General features: G+C 35.6%; 1 protein-coding gene across 6 annotated transcripts in view, besides 1 other annotated feature; it reads left to right on the forward strand.

Annotated features, from left to right (window-relative positions):
• KCNH8 (potassium voltage-gated channel subfamily H member 8) overlaps nucleotides 1-22,485 on the forward strand; it is a 387,133-nt gene that overhangs the window by 196,857 nt on the left and 167,791 nt on the right. For 5 of the 6 annotated variants that reach the window (XM_017005698.3, NM_144633.3, XM_017005700.3 and 2 more), the window contains one exon: nucleotides 2,359-2,599. In XM_017005698.3, coding sequence (XP_016861187.1) covers nucleotides 2,359-2,599 — 241 coding nt within the window. Of the gene's footprint in view, nucleotides 1-1,285; nucleotides 1,369-2,358; nucleotides 2,600-22,485 lie in introns of those variants that run through there. The other variant, XM_047447429.1, reaches the window with a different exon arrangement.
• Nucleotides 3,644-3,693: a silencer, noted in NCBI's record as "silent region_14130". NCBI's record gives its function as "represses an Ori minimal core promoter by ATAC-STARR-seq in GM12878 lymphoblastoid cells {active_cell/tissue: GM12878}" and the evidence as "EXISTENCE:reporter gene assay evidence [ECO:0000049][PMID:35858748]".

The following is a 22,485-nucleotide window of genomic DNA, read 5'->3' on the forward strand; positions in this document are numbered from 1 at the left end:
GATAGTTTCAAAGGAACTATTGCAAAAATAGTTTAGGAAACAATTACCTTAATTAGGCACTGGAGTTAACTAGTATGTTTCAATAACTCATAGGTGGAGGTTAAACATCTAAAACACCATTGGTACTAAAGAAATATGCTTGAAGATTAATAAATAAGATAAACTTAACGTCTAGACTAGGCAAACTCCATGTTTGACAGTTATAAATAACATGTCTTTCCCCCTACTTCCTGCTAAAAAGCATAATTTTACAATTGTGTACCATTTTTTTTTACAATTTTAAGAATTTTTTTCATTCAAAAGGATTTTGATAAAACATTACAAAAGCTGGTGGAAGAAGAGAAGCATCTATTTTTTTCACTCAGGTGATTATGTAAAGATGTTTGCAGGATTTGAGTTAACAACATTTCAAAATTTAAATCTAATCTCAAATGTATTGAATTCTCAGTATCTTTTTAAAATATTTTTAAAATATGTTCTAAGTAGCTTACAAAATGAAACCATGAGATTTATTTTCTGATTTGTACAGAAAACTAATATATTGCTGAACTTTTGTGACAGAATCACTAATGCTTCATATAATCAGCATAATCAAAGACAAAAACAAAAACTTCACTTTTGAGTTTTCCCAAATCATTACCCTAGATATGGATGTTCCCTCAAACAATGTAAAATTTTAATTTCTGTAATACGATAGAAAAAACTTATGTGGATAGAAAATGAGATATTTCCCATGGCTTCTGATAATTCTTTATTGTAGTAAATATTCAGGGAAAATTTGGATTAGAACCAATCATGTTATTACAACTTGAAGTGTTTATCAGTGGTGAGAAGATTAATGGTTATAGACCTTAATTCCCTCTTCCAATGTAACAGCCCGAATTTTTATGAGAAGCCCAACGGGGCTACTTCATCTCCCCTTCTCTGTTTTATGCCAAAGTCTACCTTTGGAACTGGTTTCTTGAAACCAGAGAATGAGACAAAGGAGACAGGACAAATATGAGGGAATTGTATGAAACATAGATGCAGTGGCAAATGGGCATTTAAGGACCATCTGGAAGTAGTTTAACAGTGACCCACCACGAAGTACTGACATTATGAGATGCCTGTGTGGGTTGAGTGAGAATATTAACAGGAAGTAGAAACATGGGTTGAAAATACCTACCAAAGAGAAATGCCAGACAGGGGTGCGTTAATATTAAGGTAGCAGAACTATTCAATCACTGACAGTCACCACTTAGAGCTAAATGTTCCTGATCTTTCTGAACCTTTCTTGAATCCTCAGGTACTTCAGGATCCCTGAACACATCACATTAATCTGCCCTTCCCTCAATGAGTGAGACAAGAACACAACATTGTGACCTACAAGTAATATGTATTCGGGAATTTATAACTGCTCTGTTAATTCAACTAAACTTTCAAATATAAGTTTCCATTACCTATCTTATATTTCCCATTAATTGAGGTCAAAGCCAGGTCTGCAAGTAGCTGGTCACAGGCTTGTCAAATTTCCACACATGCTATTGTTGGGCCTCCCTTTGTCTTCTAGCAACAAGGGAATTGTTCATCAATTTGAACTGCATTCAAAGTGAAGTGCTTTTGCAGTTATCAAAAACTCCAGCTATTCTGCATTTAATCAGCTGCACAGTGAACATTGGCTTTCTCCTCCCATGACTTGACTAATAACTCTTAAGCAACTGTTTCTTACTTTACCATCTGAATAATGTCTGGCCCATGTCAGAGTGCATCTGTGTCAGTCAAGGTAACGAGATTTGGGTTCCCAACTTCACCAACAGCCACAGTGCAAAAAATGAAAGTAGTTAGCACGACTTGGCTATATTTGGAAAGAAATGTAAACTGTTTACAATATAATATTGGTCATATATCTATTCTTTTTGGAAAGAAAAGCACCATTGCTGTCATCAGTAAAATATCAGGTCAAATATAGTCTTTAGATAATGACTGTCATCAGAAATCTACAAGTATACAGAATGTTCTCATGACAATAGGAATGTAAATATAGCTTTGTGTTTATAATGTGTGTAGAATTACATGTAACTGTGAATGTTTTTTGATGACATTTTAGGTAATGGTCTTTTTTATTTTTTAATGAACAAAATCTGGGTTACTCACTTAGCTTCATGACTAAACTCTGCATATTCCTGTTCCTTATAACAAAGATCTCTGCTCAGTTTTAGATGTTTAGATGCTTTGCGTCACCAACTTTTAAAAGTCACTTGTAAGATACTGCTTTGTGTAGTGAATGATCCTACTCACAAAAGTGTGTGTTTCAAGCTATGTAATCCTTGTTTCTAATGTTGTGTTTCTCCTTTCTCTCCTTTTTGTCTTCATCCACAGAATGTTTTTGTAGATAAACCAGCATTTCCGGAGTATAAAGTTTCTGATGCAAAAAAGTCCAAATTCATACTTCTGCATTTTAGCACTTTTAAAGCTGGCTGGGACTGGCTTATTTTGTTGGCAACGTTTTATGTTGCTGTGACTGTACCTTACAACGTTTGCTTTATTGGCAATGACGACCTGTCCACAACTCGGAGCACAACCGTCAGTGACATTGCAGTGGAGATTCTTTTTATTATAGGTAAGAACAAACAGCTGCTTTCCTACGATATTTGCATATGAGAAGTGAAGTGTGTTCCAGATTTTTCTGACATGAATTTGAACTAAGATCCATTTGCATGGGCTTGATTCAGCCTCTGTTGCAAATTTTGGAGAAGCACATACTGTATTTGGATTTCTGAAAATTGCCTCTTCCAACTTTTCCTGTCCCTTTATTCAAACAGATCTAAACTGATCTCCTGTGTTTCTATACTTATTTCATCCAGAATGGGCTAAAAAAGATTTAACAGCTGTTTTGTTTGTACTCTCACATCCTTCATGATCTTAAACTGGTAGGGTCAGAGATGGGTTTGACAAAAACCCACCAGTGGTGTTGTGACAGTGGTCCACTCCTTGACGTGTTCTTTCTCCATGCCCTTCCGTGCCCTTTCAGCATGTTGATGGTTTCAATAAATGACCTGGTTGCAGAAACAAAGGGTTACATAAGCCTTGCAGTAAATCTGGAGAAGCAGTGAGTATCTGATTTTAATTAAAGAAAAGGCCCCAAAGGATGTTTGTTAAGATAATTTATCACTAGAATATTGTGTACCTCAGTTGAAGCTGCGTCTGTGCCAATCTTGTAAGCCTTTTCCTATTTTCCTGTCCCTTAAATCTTCATCTTGTTTAGACCAAAGCCTAGCTCTGGCTTGCTCATTCTAGGACAGATTCCGGGTCTGTAAGTCACAGATTGACTCCCTGTTGAGTTATTGACTGTCATTAGCAGCTGATACCTGCTTCTTTCCTTGGTCATGGTGATAGAGGGCTATATTCTTACTGTAAAGATGAGAGGATGTTTGGAAACATTTTCAAGCAGGTAGGTGAACAAAGGAGTGAGAAATGGATCTTAAAATTTCAAAGAAAAATAAATAATTAAGTGAGGCACATCAAAACCTTGGTTCAATGGTGGTAGTAGTTGTTTTTTTGTGTGTTTTTTTGGTTTTTTCTCAGTGAAGCTGTTAAATCTTTGAGGCTAGAGTGCGTTTTCTGGTTGAATGTCAGCACGTTTGCTTTGGATGAGTTTGTGTGCTCTTGGTATGGCTTGGCATCGTTATTAACATTGTGTCTACTGGGCACACCCTTCAGAGCCTTGATAGGACCTCTGCTGTCACCCCAGAAGTGGTAGCTATAGTGTGTTTAGGCCACTAGATGGCAATGTTGTCTAGTTAGGCAGACGGCAATTTTATTTTTAATTTTTTTATTTTAAAATATAGCTATCCTTTATTAGAAAGATGTAACCATAAAGGGATCTATTAAATAATGGTTAAATGGAAAATAACATTCCAGTTTGAACAAGAATTTAAAATGAAAATGGTAGACAGATTGGGTGTGTCTGTGGTTTTGTATCCTTTTACTTTGCCAACATTTGAAGTCTCCTCCCACCCACCCATGATGCACACATAAATTAGCATCATAAAAACACTCCCCATGCCCTGGTCAAAGTTCTCAAGAACTTGGGCAGTCACTCAACATGGCTAAGCCTTCGTTTTTTGTAGTAGTGATTTCATAGGGTTTTGTGAAATAATAGATGTAAGTATCTGCTTAACAAATACTTCATCATCTTATTGTTATTTACAACTTTGTTATTAGGTCAAGTTATATCTTGAACTTTCCTTTCCATTCTTCCTGGTTCTTAGATATTTGACATTCTTTGGCCTTAGAAGCCACTTCTGTTACCACATGTTCATTAGCAGATGATGACTGACTTACTCCCATAAAAACTCATACCTTTGACGGAGATATTTTAAAAGTTTTTGTTTATTTGTTTTAAGGCTGCTTTTCTCTACTAAACCAATGGAGACTCATTTGCTCCCCTGATAGCAACCCCTAAATTCTTCTGTGTTTTTTATTACTGTCATTTCGACTGTGCTTCAGCAGCAAGATGGTTCTCCCAGTAGGCAATACCCATCCCTTACTAGCTACATGCAAAGGAATGAAAACCCATTCCAATTTTTTTGGTGTTTACTTTCTGCAAAGATTTAGGATTTGAAATTTTGGTCTGCAAGCAGTTCTAGTGTGACTCCTGCCTGAAATCTCTTGTTGACCAACTTATTTTTATAAGCAGTAAAAACTTTCCTATTCTTTCCTGCTGTTATCTGCCTGCTCTTTCTTTTAAATGAGTTTAAGCATATCTACAATTTATTATAGCATATTTAGAAAAATGGCTTAAATTAATATTTCTCTGTTTCCCTAAACCTTTATTCTATAAAATATTTCAAAAAGGTGGCCTAAAAGTGATCATTGAGAAATAAGTTAAAATACTGGGGACAAAATAGTTGCCTGTAATATTGCCTGTAATATTGTATCTTTACAATGTGAAGGTAGTGTTCATACCATTTAATATTTATTAAATTACTGCAGACTTAAACTTCCCTGTCTGACAGCTTTGAAGAGAGGAGCGGTTCTCCCAGCATGGAGTTTGAGATCTGAGAACGGAAAGACTGCCTCCTCAAGTGGGTCCCTGACCCCTGAGTAGCCTAACTGGGAGATACTTCCCAGTAGGGGCCAACTGACACCTCATGCAGCTGGGTGCCCCTCTGAGACGAAGCTTCCAGAGGAAGGATCAGGCAGCAACATTTGCTGTTCTGCAATATTTGCTGTTCTGCAGCCTCCGCTGGTGATACCTAGGCAAACAGGGTCTAGAGTGGACCTCCAGCAAACTCCAACAGACCTGCAGCTGAGGGTCCTGACTGTTAGAAGGAAAACTAACAAACAGAAAGGACATCCACACCAAAACCCCATCTGTACGTCACCATCATCAGAGACCAAAGGTAGATAAAAACACAAAGATGGGGAGAAACCAGAGCAGAAAAGCTGAAAATTCTAAAAATCAGAGCACCTCTTCTCCTCCAAAGGAACGCACCTCCTTGCCAGCAACGGAACAAAGCTGGATGGAGAATGACTTTGACGAGTTGAGAGAAGACGGCTTCAGACAATCGGTAATAACAAACATCTCCAAGCTAAAGGAGGATGTTTGAACCCATCACAAAGAAGCTAAAAACCTTGAAAAAAGATTAGATGAATGGCTAACTAGAATAAACAGCATAGAGAAGACCTTAAATGACCTGATGGAGCTGAAAACCATGGCATGAGAACTATATGACGCATGCACAAGCTTCAGTAGCCAATTCGATCAAGTGGAAGAAGGGGTATCAGTGACTGAAGATCAGATGAATGAAATGAAGCAAGAAGAGAAATTTAGAGAAAAAAGATTAAAAAGAAATGAACAAAGCCTCCAAGAAACATGGGACTATGTGAAAAGACCAAATCTACATCTGATTGGTGTACCTCAAAGTGACAGGGAGAATGCAACCAAGTTGTAAAATGCTCTTCAGGATATTATCCAGGAGAACTTTCCCAACCTAGCAAGGCAGGCCAACATTCAAATTCAGGAAATACAGAGAATGCCACAGACGTACACCTCAAGAAGAGCAACTCCAAGACACATAATTGTCAGATTCACCAAAGTTGAAATGAAGGAAAAAATGTTAAAGGCAACCAGAGAGAAAGGTCGGGTTACCCACAAAGGGAAGCCCATCAGACTAACAGCGGATCTCTTGGCAGAAACTCTACAAGCCAGAAGAGAGTGGGGACCAATATTCAACATTCTTAAGGAAAAGAATTTTCAACCCAGAATTTTATATCCGGCCAAACTAAGCTTCATAAGTGAAGGAGAAATAAAATCCTTTACAGACAAGCAAATGCTGAGAGATTTTTGTCACCACCAGGCCTGCCTTACAAGAGCTCCTGAAGAAAGCACTAAACATGGAAAGGAACAACCGGTACCAGCCACTGCAAAAATATGCCAGATTGTAAAGACCATCGAGGCTGGGAAGAAACTGCGTCAACTAACAAGCAAAATAACCAGCTGACATCATAATGACAGGATCAAATTCACACATAACAATATTAACCTTAAATGTAAATGGGCTAAATGCTCCAATTAAAAGACACAGACTGGCAAATTGGATAAAGAGTCAAGACCCATCAGTGTGCTGTATTCAGGAGACCCATCTCATGTTCAGAGACACACATAGACTCAAAATAAAGGGATGGAGGAAGACCTACCAAGCAAATGGAAAACAAAAAAAAGCAGGGGTTGGAATCCTAGTCTCTGATAAAACAGACTTTAAACCAACAAAGATCAAAAGAGACAAGGCCATTACATAATGGTAAAGGGATCAATTCAACAAGAAGAGCTAATTATCCTAAACATATATGCACACAATACATGAGCATCCAGATTCACAAAGCAAGTCCTTAGAGACATACAAAGAGACTTAGACTCCCACAGAATAATAATGGGAGACTTTAACACCCCACTGTCAATATTAGACAGATCAACAAGACAGAAAGTTAACAAGGATATCCAGGAATTGAACTCAGCTCTGCACCAAGCGGACCTAATAGACATCTACAGAACTCTCCACCCCAAATCAACAGAATATACATTCTTCTCAGCACCACATCGCAATTATACCAAAATTGACCACATAGTTGGAAGTAAAGCACTCCTCAGCAAATGCAAAAGAACAGAAATTATAAAAAAGTGTCTCTCAGACCACAGTGCAATCAAACTAGAACTCAGGATTAAGAACCTCACTCAAAACCACTCGACTACATGGAAACTGAACAATGTGCTCCTGAATGACTACTGGATACATAACGAAATGAAGGCAGAAATAAAGATGTTCTTTGAAACCAGTGAGAACAAAGACACAACATACCAGAATCTCTGGGACACATTTAAAGCAGTGTGTAGAGGGAAATTTATAGCACTAAATGCCCACAAGAGAAAGCAGGAAAGATCTAAAATTGACACCCTAACATCAAAATTAAAAGAACTAGAGAAGCAAGAGCAAACACATTCAAAAGCTAGCAGATGGCAAGAAATAACTAAAATCAGAGCAGAGCTAAAGGAGATAGAGACACAAAAAAACCTTCAAAAAATCAATGAATCCAGGAGCTGTTTTTTTTTAAAAGATCAACAAAATTGATAGACCACTAGCAAGACTAATAAAGAAGAAAAGAGAGAAGAATTGAATAGTCGCAATAAAAATGATAAAGGGGATATCATCTCCAATCCCACAGATATACAAACTACCATCAGAGAATACTATAAACACCTGTACTCAAATAAACTAGAAAATCTAGAAGAAATGGATAAATTCCTCGACACATACACCCTCCCAAGGCTAAACCAGGAAGAAGTTGAATCCCTGAATAGACCAATAACAGGCTATGAAATTAAGGCAATAATTAATAGCCTATCAACCAAAAAAAGTCCAGGACAGATGGATTCACAGCCGAATTCTACCAGAGGTACAAAGAGGAGCTGGTACCATTCCTTCTGAAACTATTCAAATCAACAGCAAAAGAGGGAATCCTCCCTTACTCATTTTATGAGGTCAGCATCATCCTGATATCAAAGCCTGGCAGAGACAAAACAAAAAAAGAGAATTTTAGATCAATATCCCTGATGCACATCAATGCAAAAATCCTCAATAAAGTACTGGCAAACCAAATCCAGCAGCACATCAAAAAGCTTATCCACCACGATCAAGTTGGCTTCATCTCTGGGATGCAAGGCTTGTTCAACATATGCAAATCAAGAAACATAATCCATCATAGAAACAGAACCAAAGACAAAAACCACATGATTATCTCAATAGATGCAGAAAAGGCCTTCGACAAAATTCAGCAGCCCTCCATGCTAACAACTCTCAATAAACTAGGTATTGATGGGACGTATCTCAAAATAATAAGCGCTATTTATGACAGACCCACAGCCAATATCATACTGAATGGGCAAACACTGGAAGCATTCCCTTTGAAAACTAGCACAAGACAAGGATGCCCTCTCTCACCACTCCTATTCAACATAGTGATGGAAGTTCTGGCCAGGGCAATCAGGCAGGAGAAAGAAATAAAGGGTATTCAGTTAGGAAAAGAGAAAGTCAAATTGTCTCTGTTTGCAGGTGACATGATTGTATACTTAGAAAACCCCATTGTCTCAGCCCAAAATCTCGTTAAGCTGATAAGCAACTTCAGCAAAGTCTCAGAATACAAAATCAATGTGCAAAAATCACAAGCATTCCTATACACCAATAACAGACAGAGAGCCAAATCATGAGTGAACTCCCATTCACAATGGCTTCAAAGACAGTAAAATACCTAGGAATCCAACTTACAAGGGATGTGAAAGACCTCTTCAAGGAGAACTACAAACCACTGCTCATCGAAGTAAAAGAGGACACAAACAAATGGAAGAACATTCCATGCTCATGGATAGGAAGAATCAATATCGTGAAAATGGCCATACTGCCCAAGGTAATTTATAGACTCAATGCTATCCCCATCAAGCTACCAGTGACTTTCTTCACAGAATTGGAAAAAACTACTTTAAAGTTCATATGGAACCAAAAAAGAGCCCGCATTGCCAAGTCAGTCCTAAGCCAAAAGAAGAAAGCTGGAGGTATCACGCTACCTGACTTCAAACTATACTACAAGGCTACAGTAACCAAAACAGCATGGTACTGGTACCAAAACAGAGATATAGACCAATGGAACAGAACAGAGCCCTCAGAAATAATACCACACATGTACAACCATCTGATCTTTGACAAACCTGAGAAAAACAAGCAATGGGGAAAGGATTCCCTATTTAATAAATGGTGCTGAGAAAACTGGCTAGCAATATGTAGAAAGCTGAAACTGGATCCCTTCCTTACACCTTATACAAAAATTAATTCAAGATGGATTAAAGATTTAAATGTTAGACCTAAAACCATAAAAACCCTAGAAGAAAACCTAGGCAATACCATTCAGGACATAGGCATGTGCAAGGACTTCATGTCTAAAACACCAAAAGCAATGGCAACAAAAGCCAAAATTGACAAATGGGATTTAATTAAACTAAAGAGCTTCTGCACTGCAAAAGAAACTACCATCAGAGTGAATAGGCAACCTACAGAATGGGAGAAAGTTTTTACAATCTGCCCATCTGACAAAGGGCTAATATCCAGAATCTACAAGAAACTCAAACAAATTTACAAGAAAACAATCAAACAACCCCATCAAAAAGTGGGCAAAGGATATGAACAGACACTTCTCAAAAGAAGACATTTATGCAGCCAACAGACACATGAAAAAATGCTCATCATCACTGGACATCAGAGAAATGCAAATCAAAACCACAATGAGGTACCATCTCACACCAGTTAGAATGGCGATCATTAAAAAGTCAAGAAACAACAGGTGCTAGAGAGGATGTGGAGAAATAGGAACACTTTTACACTGTTGGTGGGACTGTAAACTAGTTCACCCATTGTGGAAGACAGTATGGTGATTCCTCAAGGATCTAGAACTAGAAATACCATTTGACCCAGCCATCCCATTACTGGGTATATAACCAAAGGATTATAAATCATGCTGCTATAAAGACACATGCACACATATGTTTATTGCAGCACTATTCACAATAGCAAAGACTTGGAACCAACCCAAATGTCCATCAATGATAGACTGGATTAAGAAAATGTGGCACATATACAACATGGAATAGTATGCAGCCATAAAAAAGGATGAGTTCATGTCCTTTGTAGGGACATGGATGAAGCTAGAAACCATCATTCTGAGCAAACTGTTGCAAGGATAGAAAACCAAACATCCCATGTTCTCACTCGTAGGTGGCAATTGAACAATGAGAATACTTGGACACAGGGTGGGGAACATCACACACCAGGGCCTGTCGTGCAGTGGGGTTAGGTGAGAGGGATAGCATTAGGAGATATACCTAATGTAAATGATGAGTTAATGGGTGCAGCACACCAACATGGCGCATGTATACATATGTAACAAACCTGCACATTATGCACATGTACCCTAGAACTTAAAGTATAATAAAATATATATATATATTTACTAAATCAATATGTGTGGTAAAATTTACATGTATATTTAACATACTGTTTATTTTCTATTTCTGGAGTAGTAGTATTAATTTGGCATCTTATAATCAATTAGGGCACAATTGTTAAAAAGTAGTACAAAAAGGGTCTAGGAAGGATAGGTGTTCATAGAACTACAAGATGATGTTTTAAAAAATATTTTGGTATTCACGTAAACTCCATACAAAAGTATAAGGCAATATGATTATTTTAAATTGAGAAATAAATGTTTCATGAAGAAAGGACCCACAGTCAATTTTGGGAGATGATATATCTCTTTTGGAGAGTCACAATACACTTTGGCACTGTAGGTCTTCTGAGAAATTTAATGATAAAGAAATTTATTTAAATATGATTAATCCAGCATCTCTCAAATTTATTTTTACCTCAGAACTCATTCTTCCCCAGACCACTTAGTAATGCTCTTTTGGGGAGATAGACTCAAAAACATTCTTCCCATGTAGATTTACCATAAAGAAAGTGTCTGATTGTAATTATGCTAGTCAAAACTTAAATATGAATGGTGAATCTCTACTAGGCTGTACTCTTACTCTTAAATTAAATTCTTTTGTAAGCCACATTAATTATTTGGGATCAACATGGTGCAAGGTTGCCTGTTAGTTACAAAGTTTGGCTATATAGTTACCTTTAGTTTGAAAATCATCCTATTTAATTAAGCTGCTGATTCAAAGCCTTATAGAAACTTAAAATGAGAAGTGACTGAATAGCATTAATCGAATCCAATCTTTCTTACACCACAGTTGGAGAACTGTGCATTAGTGATTTGCCCAAGGCCCTATAACTAACTGATGGCAGACTCAGGCCTTCTGGTTGTTGGATCAGGTTTTTTGCTTGAGTTTACAGTTAATATGATTCTATTTTCTGAAAAAATTTCACTCAACTTGCTTTTCTTTATTTATGGCAATGAGGCAGAAAATGAGAAAAAGAAAGACCACCTCCTTTTCTTTCTTCCACGAATATGGAAATTAATAATTTGAATTTGTAATCTTGGTGGTGAAAACTGCTGTGTATCCATAGGTTCAACAGTTATCGCTCCCATTTTCTTACTGAAAAATTTAAAAAAAAGCAATTTTTTGTAGGCAGCAGTATGCCCAGATTCAGGGAATAAATTATGACTGTTCTAAACCATTGCTAATTTCATTCCCTTTATCTCACTTCCTGGTGTGAAGATCAGTATGTGACCAAGTCTATCCAACAGGATATAAAGAGATTGTTTTGGTGGGGAGAGGGGAGCTTCTTGGAAATAATTCTTTTCCCTGATAAAAAAAAAGAAACACATGTAAGGGAAAAATATTTGCATCCCCATTCCTTCATTTCCACTGGGATGTGTAGATAGAAGGAGATGGTGTTTGAAACCACTGCAGCTGTCTTGTTATCATTCAGAGAGATATGGCAAAGAAAATGTGGATGGCCAAGCAGAAAGCTGAGACATTGCATCTCCAGACTCCTTTTTGGATGATATAAAATGTTCCTATTATTGGAGCCACTGTTAACTGAGTATTTTGTTACTAATCATCATATCATTCTAAAAATACAAAAAAAAAATCACTTGATTGTTTGCGGCCCCTTTTACTGGGCCATTTCAAAGGCTCTAAGTTATATTCTTTCAAAGGAAATAGAATGTCCTTTTTTACATCTTGTCATTTTACTGTGAGACTAAGAAGTGATTTGCACATTCTTACTATCTACTATTATAACCACAAAGACTGAGAGTCATAGATTATGCCATAAAGTTGTATCTCTGATTGCTTTGGTCTCTCTAAGAACTCTTCAGAAAGCTAAGTGTCAAAAGTAACATGATATGCAAGTATGCTTTGTTTATATTTACCTTAGTCAAAAAATCACTGAGTTATTTAACAGGACATCTGAAAAAACAGGATAGCGTAATGGGGAATATATAAATAAAGGGATAAAGCTGAGAAGCTTTCATAATAGAAGGAATATATATATATAAATCCTGAGTCCAAAAGGGCACTTTAGGAACTGAATGGGATAAAAAATACATATACTCCATACCTAAACATGTTACTGTGCAGATTATAAAGGATTAAAAAGAAAATCTTCAAAGCCTTCTGAAAGAGAAAATTTACTTACCAAGGTATAATAATTAGACTGAAGTCAGATTTCTCAGCAACAGTAGAGGCCAAAAGGCAATGAACAATATCTGGCTTACTAGAAAAAAATACTGGCCGGCCTTCCTTCCTTCCTTTCTTCCTTCCTTTTCTTCCTTCCTTCCTTCCTTCCTTCTTTTTTCTTTCTCTTTCTCTTTCCTTCTCTTTCTTTCTTTCATTCTTTCTTTCTTTCTCTCTCTCTTTTTTTCCTTCTTCTCTCTTTCTCCTCCCTTCCTTCCTCTCCCTTCCTTTCTTTTCTTTCTCTTTTTTCTTTCATTTCTTTCTCTTGGTTCATTCTTCTTGAGGAAAGGGTACACAATGAAGATATTTTCACAAAAAATAAAACTATTGTACCACCCACAGATTCTCACTGAAAGAACTACTAAAATATGTTCTTTAGCAGGAAGAAAAGTGAAGCCAGAAGGAAGGAGTGGATCCAAGATAAAACAAAATTTGAAATGAAAATTGATAAAATATGTTGACAAATTAGATTAACCATTGGGTGAAAATAAACAATATTGTTTCAATGGACTAAATAAAAACAAGTTATAACAGATACTGCTAAAACATGTTGATAAATTTAATTAACTATTGACTGAAAATATATTAAGGTGTTTTATGTTTTTTAAATACATAGAAACCAAAATTCTAAACAGTGATGACCATATGGAGGTGATGGTAGGTGGCTAAAAAGCAGTGTGTCACCTTTTAACATGTCCAGAGTAAATACATTAGAACCCAGGAAATATTGTTAGAAAACTTTGTAATTAGTTGTGTGTATTAAAATTTTTAAAGGAACTGTGCAAAAATAAAACAAAAATATTAATGGACCCAGTGATTTCAAAACAACCAGAAAAAAAAACCTAAGGAAATATGAAATATTACTAATCCACAAGGAAAAGGAAAGGAGAAAAACAAATGAGGAAGACAAATATGGGGATTAGAAGATGAAAAATAACAGCAGTAAATCAAGATATATGACAAATATTCAAATGTAAACACTTAATGGGTAGTAACTCACATGCTAAAATAAGTGATAGTCAATGGATTTTTTAAATTCAAAAATATGCCAGTTATAGAATTAAATCTAATACAAAATTACTAGAGGAATTGGAAAAAAGATCTGTTATGTAAATACTAACCAAAAGAAAAGAGGTGCAAGAATATAAATAGCTGAGATATAAAATTTAAGACGAAGATACTAATAGGGCTAGTAAGTAATATTATATGTTAATAAAAGAAACTATTAAGAAGATATAACCATAATAAATATATGTACTTATATATATATGTGTGTTGTGTGTGCATGTGTATATACATAGAGAAAGAGAAACTTATTTTAGAAAATAAAAATAGCTATAATAACACGCAGTATCAGAAACTGATAAACTAGCACATCAATATTTTTAGACTATAGGAGATTTGAAAAACGTGATCGACACCTGATACAATATCGTTTAAGTAGAATTCCTCAACCGTGGGACGACTGAAGTTTGGGGCTGGATAATCGTTAGTTATGGAGGCTGCCCTGTATATTGCAAGATGTTTAGCAACATCTCTGATCTCTACCCACTAAATGCCAGTAGCACCCACTGCCCAGTTGTGACAATCAAAATTGCCTCTAGATGTTGCCAATTTATGCATTTATTATAATTTCCAAGACATATTGTGAAATGAAATAAGCAAGATTAGTTGTGTATATATAGTATGCTAACGTTTATATACAAAAGGGGTGGGGAAAGAGTATGTGTGTGTATATTTACTTGACAATGCTTAGGTTGTCTTTGGAGATTTAAATAAGATATTGCTGAGCTTCTTTGCTTCCAGAGAGAACCACAAGGTACTGAGCACAGAAAAGGGAAGATTTTACTGGATACCTTCTGTGAACTTTTGAGTTTTGAGCAGTATAACTGTAATGCCAAATAGAGAATAAACAAAATTAGAGTAAAAAACATACATATAAGAGTTAAGTGATTACTCCAGAATTTTTAAAAAGCATGAGCAAAAGCCTAAAGGAGGTCATAAAGATAAGGACAGAAATTATACCCTAGATAGCAAATGAAAATAAGAACAATGTGGCAAGACTCAATCAAATTTGAAATGCACATACCCTAGGATTCAGCATTTATTCTTTTTTAGGTGGAGAATCACTTGCAGACATGTGCAAAAGGTTTGCTGGGTTATTGTTTGCAGGAGCAAAATAATGGAAACAAAGTCTATATTCACCGAATAGTAGAGTATAAATCAAGTGTGGTGGATGGGTGGATGTATATAATGAAAAACTACACAGTAGAGAAAAAAGAATATAGAGCAGGGATTGGCAAACCAAGTGTCAGAGGCCAAATCTTTCTCCCTGTTTTTATAGATAAAAGTTATCGTTAACACAATTACTCATATTCTTTTGTATATGTTTTATTGTTGCATTCCCACTATATCAGCAGAGTTGAGTGGTTGCAACAGAGACTGTGGCCAACAGAGCCTAAAATCTTCACAATCAGTCCTTTAAACAAAAAGTTTGCCAACCCCTGGTCTAGGACAATGTTTTCTAACCCAACATTGCCTTTTCCATAACAAATATTTTATAATGCCTTCTTATTCTCTACCTAGTCATCTTAAAAATAAAATTGATACAATTTTATATATCTCTGATACTGTAATATCAGAGACAACATAAAAGAAATCATTTATAATAATTTCTTGTGTATTTCAATTCATAAGGGCTGTAGCGTTAGGATACTAAAATGCATAATGAGATAAATACTTGCAGTTAGTTATAATGAACAAACTTGGATTTACAATAATTCCATTGAGGAAGTACAGGCAAATTAAAAGAGTAGAGGTACAAGTGGACATAGAATAAGAACTAGTATTATGATGAGTATTCATTTAAGCAGACATTAATATATGACAACAGAAATTGGGAAATAGCTAACTCAGGTAAGGATAGCATGCTAAGACAAATTTCAGTCTATGAAAATAGAAAAAATGAGGAAACTGAGTCTTCTGGCAAATTTGTTGGCCCTTATCCCTATATGTAGTATTCTAACAATTCCTGTGCTCAGACCTGGAGTGAGATAGTGATGAAATCAAAATAAATAAATAATAACAGGAGAAACATTTGAGTGGGGAAAAACAACAAGAAAAAGAAGTCATGAAATTAAGTTTTCCTAATGGTTTTTCAATAGAATCATGGATTTTTTTCTCTCATGTATTTCTTCATTATTTAAAATAAAGGAGATCCCACATTTTTCTGCCCAAACAGTTGAAAGTCTTGTGGAGTAAAGGGCTATCACATTGGGTAGATTATCCTGTCCAGGCCAGAACATCTCACGTCCTTGCCCACTACACACCAGTAATGTTCCCAATCATTATAACTCAAAATACTCCATACATATTTGGCATTTATATTCAATGCTGTATTTTGAGGTTATTTCCTACATCCACTTGAGTAGTTCTAGTTTGCCGATTCTCAGAGGAGCAATACCAACCATGGGAGATACTTTAGAAACACATGGGTTTGACTTTAACTCACCAATCGGCATTACTATTATTTGGTATAGCATTTGTGCTTGTAATACCAATTTACATATTTGCAAATGGAGTAAAAATTAAACAAATGAGCAGAATTCCCATTGGTGCAGCATTTCTTATAAGCATATATACACATTTTCATTGTTTGTAATTATTTTTTCTCCTTTTGCTTAAAATGCTTTATTAACCAATACTTCTATTAACTTACAAATACCCAAATTTTTCTATCTCAGAATCTTTATTTCTGAACATCATTTAATTTTTAGTATTAACTTTAGTGACATAATTAGGGCAGGTATATATTTGTATACATAAGGAGAAAGGGAGGGAAAGTAAGAAGTTGATACAAGATCTGGTTAATTACTGACGAAGCTAGAGCTAAAACCCTGAATGTTTCATTTGTAAATGGGCAAAGAAGTAGCATTATTGTGAGAATTTGGTGAGGTAATTATATCAAGAAATCAGCTCACTCACTGTTCAATCAATAATGATGATTATTGTCGATAATGTAGGGGAGGAAAATCTTCCTTCTATCTTCTTAGATTCTGTGGCTGAGAATTAAACTAATGTAAGACAGACTAACAGGGCAAAAAAGCATACAAATTTTATTAAATATTTTTCCATACACACAGGAGTCTTCATAAAGAAAATAAAAATCCAAATAAGCTGTTAGGCCCCAAAGCTTAAATAGCTTTTTTAAAAATGTGTTAAACATTGTGAGGATGTGACAAGACAGGGGAAGTAAATTGTGGGGCAGTGACTAGGAAATATATGGGGGAAATTAATGGAGGATGAGTTGTTTTAGTAGATTGGTTTGTCCAGATTCATCTCAGCTTCAACTCCCAGTCTTCAGTGATAAGAATGTTCTTTTCTTTCTGATATGGGGAAAGCACCTGTCTCATGGGAAATTTTATGATTTGCATTTAGAAGAGGGTCAGGGAAACTTTCCTGCACCTGCTGTTTCTCAAATACCTTCAGCTATAAATAATCAATATAACAAAGCAGCGTATCTTGAGGTGGCATGTTCAAGGTCATCAAGCCTGTATTTCCTCAGTATTTGTTTTTGTTTTTGTTTGTTGTTTGTTTGTTTGAGACAAGGTCTCACTCTGTCATGCAGGCTGGAGTGCAGTGGCACAATCACAGCTCACTGCAGCCTCAATCTCCCAGGGTGATGCTCCTACCTCAGCCTCCCAAGTAGCTGGGATTACAGGCATGTGCCATCACGCCTGGCTAATTTTGTTGTTTTTTTGTAGATGGGGTTTCCCCATTTTGCCTAGGCTAGTTTCCTGAGCTCAAGTGATCCTCCCCCCTTAGCCTCCCAAAGTGCCAGGATTACAGGCATGAGCCACTGTGCCCAGCCTCCTTGGTTTGTTTTAATATCTACTGTTTTTAGAAAATTAGCATCCTTTGAAACATACTTAATAATCCAGCTAATCTTGGGACTAAGATACACCAGAACATTGCACAACTCAAAGCTTTCAGGAACACAAGTGTCTGAGGATTCATTTACTACTTAAAGGAGCGGAGGCTTTTTCAGGTACTTATGCAGACTTGGCTCAGCATCTTTCTGAAAAGCCAAGAGAAGGTCTCTTAAAGACCATCATCTTGTATCTACCTGTCAGGCATCCTTTATCTGCAGTACTCTAGGGACTGACATGCATTGAATGATGTCAAACAACATTAGAAGTAATCATTCCAGTTATCTTCTCTCTTCCAATCTTCCATCAGCACTTCTAAGAACAAGGAAAAGAGCTGATCAGCATTTCAGCTCCCCCTCCTTTTTTCCTGAACAGCTCTGAAGAGGCCTGAAAGGCACAACTGGGACTTCCAGTAACACAGTCTAGAAGCAAGTCATTAGCTAAAGGCTTAATCACCAGCTTGAGTATTCAAGAGGTCTCTTAACAACAGCTTCATAATTTTGCTGGATCTGAGTTCAATATTTAGTATCATTTACAAATACATACTTGCTTCAAAAAACTTTTCTCCAAATCTCCTCTTTATTGTGCATAACCTATATAATCTCCGTTTCGTGTTAAATGGAACTAAGGGGTAGTGCTCTTGTACCATTGAACTCTACTCATATCAATGCTTGTTACACTAGTAGCCCCCAAAAAGGTACTTTAATTCTAGGATTCTTGGATGTCTTTTTCTATCAGGGTAAATACACAAACATCAGTGGGCCCTGAAAGGGTATGGACTTTTTAATGTTATTTCATTGTATAAGCAAATCCCAATTTATAGTATAGTCATTTTCCTGAAAACTGCAAAGATGTCATTTCCTCCTTAGGTAAAATGGCTAAAATTAAAGATACTGACTTGGATACTGAAGGCAAAGACATCTAATAATAAATAAAGTTGAAGTTTTATGATGAGGAGAAAATTAAATTAAATTTTACCCCTGAATTGCTTGGACATTCTGGTATACCCTGACTACATAGTTAAGCTTTGATTAGTTAACATCCATTCGTCTCTTAGTGTTTGGCTCCCTCTCTCCCTTCCTCTCTTCCTCTTTAAATCTCATTTTTCCTCCTCCCCTACTACTAACATAGTCAGATTCTCCCACCTATTCCTAGTACACCTTTTAGATATAAGGTGGCAATGGAGGTCCGTATACCCATATACCCCCACGTCTTCATGCCCACGCCTCCACAACACAAAGCCTTAAGCGTGTTGAGGAGACTCCTTCCAGTTATTCTGTTTAGCCATTCACGCTAATCTAGGATTGAGTAATAGGGTCTCTCACTAACAATGACTCAATACGGCATTCATGGCTCGGATTTGACCTTTGTCCCACAAAGCTATTTATAATGCAGCTATGAGAATATTTACAGTGTCTGTATGCCAAGATAATATATTTGGAACATTTATTAAATGGAATGTATTATATTGAGCATTGATCTTTGACTAGAAATGAATCACTGCCGACTTGGTTACTGGCCAGCTATTTTTTGGTGAATAAATCTAAGCCTGCGTATATAGCAATAATTATACAAAAAACAGAAAACTACACTACCACTTCAGATTCCCAGTGAGGTGTAAGGTAGTAAGTGTCTTATCTCAAAAATGTAGGGATTTTACATGTCAGAATATCTTGGTGGGAAAAGACCGTGCATTGAAAAGTAAGGTACTGTTTTCATCATTCTTATTAAGAGCTCTCAAATTAGGTGACTTTAAAGTACCTACTTAAGCACTTAAGCAAAGATTAAAATTGCATTTGTTTTACAAATCAACTGTCAGTTCACGTATTGCTTCATTAGGCTTTTCAGAATTCACTATGGGAAGATGAAACGCTATCATAAATTAACTATTGAACGGATACCCAGGATGTGTAACCACTACATTTTCCTTAACCATATGAAACTGCAGAGCAGACTATTTTTCATTTGATTGTTTCAAACATAGCAATGGATGTTTCCTTAGGCAAGATGTAATAGGCTTATGTTTAATTATAAGAATTACTTTATTCACCATCACTTTCTATTAGACAGACTTACAGATTTTTGGAAATAATTCCACCATTCTTTACTGTAAGCAAAATCATACTCAAGGACAATGTTCTCGATAAACCTACAAATTACATTTTAAGGTATTTTCTTGTGATTTAATGTTCCTCTGTGCATATACTGTGCTAATTATCTAAACTTTAAAATAGAAGCAGTGGAGAAAAACAAATGTCTGTCAATTACAGCCATTCCAAAACAATGTCTGCTTCCATTTTAAATCTTTCTGTGTGTTGTTTTCTCTACTTGTTTTAATGTAGTTGTGCTGGTATTCTATGCAAACTTGGGGAATATTTTTTCTCATAACATTTTAATATAATTATTTCTCTGTGTTTTATAAATATTTATAAACATATTTAATATCTGCATAATATTCCATCATATAATGATTATTTAGTTTATATAACCGCATCTTAATTGTTACGCATTTAAGATGATTTTGATTTTTTGCCACTTAAATATAAAAATCGTAATGAACATCTCTATGAAAAATATATTTATTTACTAACTAAGCAAATACGTACTGAGTGCCTATCATTTGCCATGTACTGTTCTAGATGCTGGAGATAGGCCAGTGAAGCAAATAGACACAGGTTCTTGCCTTCATATGATTTACATCCTGATAGGAGACAAACAGTAAACAAAACAATTAATTTAAATGGCATGCTTGATAGTGACAGGTTGCACGTAGAAAAATAAAGCAAAGAAGGGGGAAGGAATGGGCTGCAATTTTAAATCAGTGGCCACGCAAAGTATAATTGAGAATATGACATTTAAATAATGACAGAAGAGAAATAAAGAAGCAATCAACTGTATCTCTTGATGAAGAACATTCCAAGCAAAGGGGACAGCCAGATGCTTTACTCCCACATTTGGAGTTCTTTTAAGAAGCAGTGGAATTATTGGGCCAAAGAATGTTAATATATACAGCTTATAACACATCTTTTTTTAAAAAAATTACATTATCCTTCGAGCATTTTTGGTCAGTGAAGCTCTAGTTGAAATGCCATTTGTCCATGCTAATATTTCCATAGTAATAGCTACTGTGAAATATTATAGGTTGTATGCTGCTTTCTGAATTTTTTATACTAGTTAAAGTCGCTTAATTTGATGGAGTAATTCAGATACTATAATATTCATATTGCATTATTGTTACTTATTCCTATTTTTTCCTTAGGTTTAATGCCACAAGGAAAATGAAGTTGTATTTGTCTGATGGATTCAAAACTTATTTCACAGTGTACCTGAATGTTTAAATTTGAAATATTTGAGATGGCAAATATGAAGGAAAATTGTCTTAGCATGTGTCTGAGAATGATTCTGCCTTATGACATATATTACTGTAAATAGACTATGAGAAGAGCATGTGCTCATAAAATATGAAATAGTGGTGCTTGTTTTGAACAAGGCAGGGATATTAAGAATGGAATGTTACTAAATTTAGAAACCCAGGAGAAAATTGTGAGTTCTTGATTTAGAAACTTAATGTAATGAAAGGGTTTTTTTCCCTCTTACCAAACGAGTTCTGCTATGTCATTCTCTCTTCTTTCCACTTTTCAAGTATGTTTTCTTAAAGTATAAAAAAATAAAATAAAATTCTACTCTCAAAATAGAAAAGGCATTATTCACATGGTTTGTATTTTCCATCTCAGTCCATGGTGTTAGCATTTCCTATTGGAATAACCTCCTCTTCCCGTCACTCCAATAGTTTTAAGATCAGTAAATACATAAGTAATAAATGATAAAAACAAATATATATTGAATATAGTGAAAAGTTATTTAAATATTTTTAGATGACAGAAAACATTCTGGCTACCTGTGTGTGGATGTAAGTCTTTATGTAGTCAATGTATTAAATATTTGTTGAGGACCAAAATGATGTCACCCAAGAGAGCTGATGTGGCAATTACTTAGAAGCATAGAAGACCCTTCAGGGTCTTGACTCCTTATTTCTATCCTTTTCTCCATCACCACTTGCTCCTCCTTCTTGTGGCTCCAGCCATACTGACCATTTGCACTTCCTCAACTGTGTCATTCTTTTCACCTCGTTTCATGATCTTTGCACTTTCTACTCCCAGAAAATAAAAATGGCAAGACATCTCCTTAGTTCCTCTTTACGCAATTAAATTTTTCTTATCCTTGAAGTATCATCTGTGAACTCTCTGTAAAGCCTTCTTTATTCCTTGTTACCCCGATTACCATGAGTCTGGGTTAGGTTTCTATCATGCACTATTTAACTTATTTCCTTCCTCCATTCTTTAACCCCGTATTATAATTGTGTACCCCCACTCTCTCTCTCTCTCTATATATATATTTATATATATATCAGAAATATATATATCATAATATATATATATCAGAAATATATATATCATAATATATATATATCAGAAATAAACTTTGAGCTCTCAGAGAACATGGACCAGGCAATACATTTATTTTTCAAATTCCACCAACAAATATAGTATTTAATAACATATTTAATATTTGCATAATATTCCATCATATAATGCATATGTAGCACTAAACATATGTCTCCTTACCAGCATAGTTCAGATAAACAAAATATAACATGTAGCTCATTGAGTTGAACAACAGCCTTATTTCCAAAGGTTTGTTTGTTTCATGTGGCCTCACAGGTAACTGATTTTGTTTTTTAATTTTTAAACAGCACAGCCTACTTTAGAGTTGCTAATTCTTAACAAGTCATGTATAATTAAACAAAGAGCAGGTAACTTGGGAAATCCTACAGGTTTTGGC

This window comes from Homo sapiens, chromosome 3 (assembly GCF_000001405.40).
Source record: "Homo sapiens chromosome 3, GRCh38.p14 Primary Assembly".
In the NCBI taxonomy this organism is placed as follows: domain Eukaryota; kingdom Metazoa; phylum Chordata; class Mammalia; order Primates; family Hominidae; genus Homo; species Homo sapiens.